Genomic DNA, 6,000 nt, shown 5'->3' on the forward strand with positions numbered 1-6,000 from the left:
ACAGAATAAGAATGACACTTTTTGTATGAGGTCACCCTGTAGTATGGCATTTACCATTAGGTACTGATTACCTATCAGAACATAATTAGTCAATGCTAGCAAACAAAAGATTAATGTGACAAATATGTGACAACAAAGTACTACAGCTGCACAGTATTATATTTTCTTTAAAAACAACTGAAAAACATTTATTTTAAAACATAGTAATATCAACTTTTAGGGCTACAGATATACAGTCTGATCCAAATATGGAAGACAAATAGGCATAATATAAAGCATGGGAAAGAAAGAAACCTCAATGTGTTAGAGGGCTGGGATGTGGGAAATTGTGATGACAATGACAATGGTAATGCTTATCCTAAGAGCATCACCCCTAGATGGGCTGATCACTCTTATGTGCCAGGTGCCATCTGCAGCACTTTGCATGGAGTAACTTATTCATTTCTCCCAAGAAAACATGGTATTCACATTATAACAAGGAGTAAACTGAAGCTCAGAGGGGAGGTCCGCCATGTTATCCAAAGTCTTGATTATGGCTCTAGTCATTATTGGCTCTTTTCCTTTCTGATTCCTGAGGCAGAGCTCTAAAACACTACACTACATCACTCCTTTGAATTTTCTTTTCTTCTTCCTTTTCCTGTTTTTCTGTGGTTCAAATTATTTGTATAAAATTAAGCAAAACAGAGACAATTTTTTAAAAGACTCAGCTGAAGCATGAATTTAGACAATAGGTCACATTGTGTTTTACAGGTACACCCTATTGCCTAGTCCCCTATACTAATGGTACCATTCTCTTCTCTAGCCATTACCTTTTTTTAAAGAAAAACCTCCAACCCTGGGCACAATGGCTCACGCCTGTAATCCCAGCACTTTGGGAGGCCGAGGCAGGCGGATCACCAGGTCAGGAGTTGAAGACTAGCCTGACAAACTTGATGAAACCCTGTCTCTACTAAAATAAAATTTAAAAAATGGTAGCCAGGCATGGTGGCGTGCACCTGTAATCCCAGCTACTCAGGAGGCTGAGGCAGGAGAATCACTTGAACCCAGGAGTTGGAGGTTGCAGTGAGCCAAGATCGCACCACTGTACTCCAGCCTGGGTGACAGAGCGAGACTGCATCTCAAAAAGCAAACAAACAAAAAAACAAAAAAACCCAAAAAACTCCATTGTCTAAATATGGTAATATTGGAGCAATAGTTTAAGTGACACAGTGTAAAATCACTGAAGATGTGCCGAAAAGCCATACAAAAAAGATTTACTGATCATGTAAACGAGAATACCTCCTCAACAGAAACAAGTTACTTAGCTAAATACTCTTTTGAAAGAATCACATAATGTCTGTACACAGGTAATCTTAAAATGTTCATATTCAGTCCAAAAAATATACACTTAAGCCAGGTGGCACCTGCATGTAGTCCAAGCTCCTTGGGAAGCTGAGGCTAGAGGATTGCTTGAGCCAGGTGTTTGAGTCTGTAGTGCACCATGATCGTGCCTGTGAATAGCAACTCCAGCCTGGGCAGCATGATGCAACCGAGTCTCAAAAAAAATACTTATAAAATTCCTTTGTAGTTGTGTTACAAAATAAGTTGTTTTCATAATGCTCTGTTGAGTTGTTAGGCAATGCAGAGTCAGCCCAGAGGAAAGTGCTCTTGCTTTCATTTGTCTCTACTGCTAAGAAGAAAACTTTCTCAGCTTTAAAATTCTACTGATTAGGGCTATCCAAGCTATTCCAACATTTCTACCTTTCTCCAGGAAGTGTAGTATATACTTTGGTCAAACGAGATAAAAATTGTTTGATGTCATTACATGAACATTCATATATATATATATATATATATATATATATATATACACTCATATATATATATACTCATATATATACATATATTCATATACATACATATATTCATATATATACTCATATATATATATACATATATACTCATATATATATACATATATATGTATCAACCAGAGCTAAAACTCTATAGATATATGGACCAGTTATAGCTCTGAATATGTGCACATTACCCATGGGATTCCATGACATTTTGTGCAGATTGCAAGGTGCACATGCCCTGTGGATGCCTGTCATATGCATGAATTATGAACAGAAATCATACTTTATGTCATCCAACTTTATACCTACAAAACCTAGCATTGTGATATTGGCTCCCGACAGCCCCTCCTACATTGGAAGCTTCTGAAGGACAAAGATCACATTCCTTGTGTGAATATATGACAAAATAACACCTTCATTTGGAAGGAGAAGGAGACTTATTATTGGGAATGAGAAGGAATTTGAGGATGACAGCAGTAGTGGTCCATTTACAATTTTGGCACATGCAGGTTTAACTCAGAATTCACCTTAAGAAGTTAAACACATTCCTATAAGCTTGCAGTGATATCTTTGACTTCACAAAGTCTTACACATTAGAGCTGTGAAAGTCTGGTTTCTGCTGGAAGCTCATAACAGCAGGGACATGCAGTGCTCCCCACTGTTTCTACTGCAACTCCACCCAGGATTCACTCTCCCACCCTGTGGTACTTATATTATCCTCTGACAGGTGAGGCCCACAGCTGTGACTAGACACAATGACCAGAGCTGGTTAGGTCAAGTGTGAACAAGCAACTGCAGCTGAGGCATCGGCTGGTCGGAAACCTATTGCCTGCCAGGCCTAAAATAAAACTATGAGCTGGTCAATTATATCAGTGGGAGTGGGGAATAGATGGGTTGGAGGAATAATGGCAGGTGGCAGAAAGAAACTGGGTTATAAAGTTCAGGATCATGTGCAGAAGTTCACTTTGGACAGGATGCAATAACTAACTGATGAAAACTTTTAATGCCTCAAAGACAAGTTTATGGTCACTTGTGTGGCAGTCTAATTAGATGCTTCTAGTTCATGGGTAGCTTTCCTCCATCAGTGGCTCAGGGACCCAGGATCCTTCCCGTTTGTGGCTGTACTATCCCCGAGCGCATTTGTGGCTTGGCCATCCACTAGCATGAGGGTTCCACTTCTTACAAACCTGGGCTCTGAAGCTGCTACTTCTTTTCAGATACCATTGACCAAAACACATCATGGGACCACCCTTCATAGCAAGGCAAGCCTGGAAATTAGTAGGGCTGCCTGTGTGGAAAGACAGATTTTTGGTGACCTGCTACAGGAACAAGCCAAGTCACGTTCAAGGCCCAGCTTTATGAGGGACATAAAGAGATGGCCGCGTTGCTCAGGGAAGAAAAGAGAGGAAAAGTCCTAAGAGAGACCATGAACCTGTCTTGATTCCACTTACTTCACTGTTGTTTTCTTAAAATCCTCACAGTATTTTTTACTATATGCCACTCTTTAATTGAGCTAGCATGAGTAAGTCTTAACCATACATTTTATAAATCTATTGGCATAATCTGCATTCTTCCTGAATGTTCAAACTAGAATTGAGAAAATTGAAAATCGAGACCAGGATGCTGTTGAAACATGAATTCTTTCCATGATCCCCTCAGTAGAATTTAGTGAAATGAAAGGATAGCTTCCATCACGTTATGTTTAATTCTTCCTCGATTTCATTTATCTTTTTACTTAAAACTAGTATTTTCCAACAACTACTTCCCTTAGAATCTCTGTAAGCTACAGAAATGTTAGCAGCTTACTTTGGTCATATCATGGGCCAATGCAGCAGCGCTGTCTCATGATTGTGAGCCTAATTTAACTAAAAATAGCAAGGGAAATGCTGAATTCTGAAGCATTTCTGTCGTTCCCTATAGCTGAATGGGAACGTTTTCACTCAAAGAACAGCTCCTCTTGCCTTATTGCAGCATGGAGGACTCAATCACATTTTCCCTTGAGGCTGACAACAATTAAAAACTAGCTGCCATAAGACAGTATTCACAGATATTCACAACAAACACAAATTGGTGCTTTTCATTGAGACAGGCAGTGTATGCCACACAGACAGCAGGACTCAAGGACAACCATCTCTTTCAATGTCCAGCATCTTTGAAATGAGCTTGGCTGTTAATAAGACTAATGCCTTCAGTGTTACTCAGTTTCATTCTTTACAGCTTTTATTTTCTCTTTAAAGACCCTACCAGTCAGTTGGGCCTCTTGATCAGTTGGGTAGAAGTTGGGAGATATACATTGTTTGGGAGGAGATCATAATTTAAGCAAAAAGCCTCCGAGGAATGAAATGCCACGTCTTTCCATTTGCAAGCATTCCCACCAGGCTCTCTTTTGGAGAACTTCCCTTCCCTTCACCTCCCCCATTTTACTATAACATTGCGTCAGATATTTAGAAATGTTTTGTTTTAATACCAAGTGACTTTCTTTTTTTTCTATATCTGTTTTCTAACCAATCTGATACTTCAAGGCAACAAATAAGAAACGGCTTTGTTATTGAATTGGGAACAAAAGGTACAGTGGAGAAGCATATTAAAATGTTCAGAAAATCCTAAACTGAAATCTGTTTACTAAAGCCACCAGCTGTCACTTCCTCTCCTGGCTGTCGTGCACTACCTATCTGGAACTGTCGCCTTGCACTCATTGCCCTGACCCTACTGTATATCCGCTCTGATGTTTTCTTAGAAAAACAAGTTTACCCCCTTCCCTCTCAATTACATCTAAATGTACTCTAAATGTGCTGTCATTCTCAATTGCATTCAATGTTCTTTTCAATTTTAAAATGGATGTTTATAAGAAGTAGCATGACAATCTATTTAAGAATAAAAGTCAAAGAATTAAACTAAATGACCACAATAGGAATCATCAATGTGGAACTGAGAATGTTGACTTGAGTACCTAGAGTTCAATCATAAATTAAAAATCGTTAAAATGTGGTGTTTGGGGTTACAAACTCTGTTTCAAATTACAAGTAGCTGTGCCTGGCATGTTAGGATTGTTTTCTGATCTTAATGAATGCTAAAGTTGAGATTTTTCAGAAGGATAAAAAGTCTTTTTAGGAAACCATTACGGATCCTCGTATTTCAGTGACCCCATCCACCCACTCCCCGCTTTGCTTCAATGTTGGCAACATCTGACACCCTTTTCGGCATGTTCAGGAGAGAAGCCAAGGATTAAACCGGCCATGAAAACTCTTTTCCTTCTCAACTCACCGCTGGGAAGCGAGTGTATTCTGTAAATTCCTGTATCTGGCCAGGAGGGCTTAGGGGATAGGGTGGGCCGCTCAGAGCTGAGACGTACTCACACTGTGGATAGATAGACGTCCGTCTCCAAAACCGCCAACTTTGCTTCTTCCACTACCGCTTGGCTCCCTGTAGTCAATCTGCATGTGATTCCTATTAAAATCCTGTTTCCTTAAAGCAACAAGGGTTTCAGCCTAGAGAATAAGATATCTGACCTCTGGAGCCCATGAGCTATCACTGCTACATATATTCACTGAATCAACTATCAGCACGCAGGCCCTATCAGCAAAGGAGAGAAATGTGCAAACTTCTTGCAGCATTAATCAAACCTGAAACGTTATTTTTAAGGTGTCACGAAATCCACGTTGACTGACTGGTCCTTTTAATCTTAATTTTGAACAGTTGCTACTCCAATTAAATTCTACCACCTAGCATTTTCAAACAGCTCCTGGTTGTTTCCACAAACTCCGTTAATGGACAGCTGTTTCTGACAGCTCCCTGATTTGCCAGTGCTGTGTTGGCTGCCGGCACAGGAGGCCCGTTCTGTATTCTGCTGCTGGCACCGGGGGATATGCAAATGAACACATGAATCAGTTGTCACCACCACAGACACTGTGCAGGGAGACGATCAGAATGTGTGGGGAGCTTAGTTGGCTGCAAGTGAGGGGAAAAGAAGGGGGGTAGGAAAGCTTCGGTTTCTTGAAGTGAGTTTTCTTTTCTTTTTCTTTTTTGAAGTGTCTCCAGTTTATTTTCACTTTGTGGCATTCATTAGATTTCAGTTCAGGAAAGTGCAATCTGTTCCTCGCCAATCACCAACAGAAACCCTGAAAGTTTGGGAATGATAGAAACATTTCAGGTAAACACCATT

The 6,000-nt window shown here is 40.0% G+C and overlaps 1 long non-coding RNA gene across 1 annotated transcript in view; it reads right to left on the bottom strand.

The window, feature by feature from the left end:
* LINC02254 (long intergenic non-protein coding RNA 2254) overlaps nt 1-5,425 on the bottom strand; it is a 151,441-nt gene extending 146,016 nt beyond the window's left edge. The window contains exon 1 of the long non-coding RNA NR_120324.1: nt 5,195-5,425. This is a non-coding gene — a long non-coding RNA (long intergenic non-protein coding RNA 2254). The remainder of the gene's footprint in view (nt 1-5,194) is intronic.
* Nucleotides 5,426-6,000: the final 575 nt, after the last annotated feature.

This window comes from Homo sapiens, chromosome 15 (assembly GCF_000001405.40).
Source record: "Homo sapiens chromosome 15, GRCh38.p14 Primary Assembly".
NCBI classification, from domain to species: domain Eukaryota; kingdom Metazoa; phylum Chordata; class Mammalia; order Primates; family Hominidae; genus Homo; species Homo sapiens.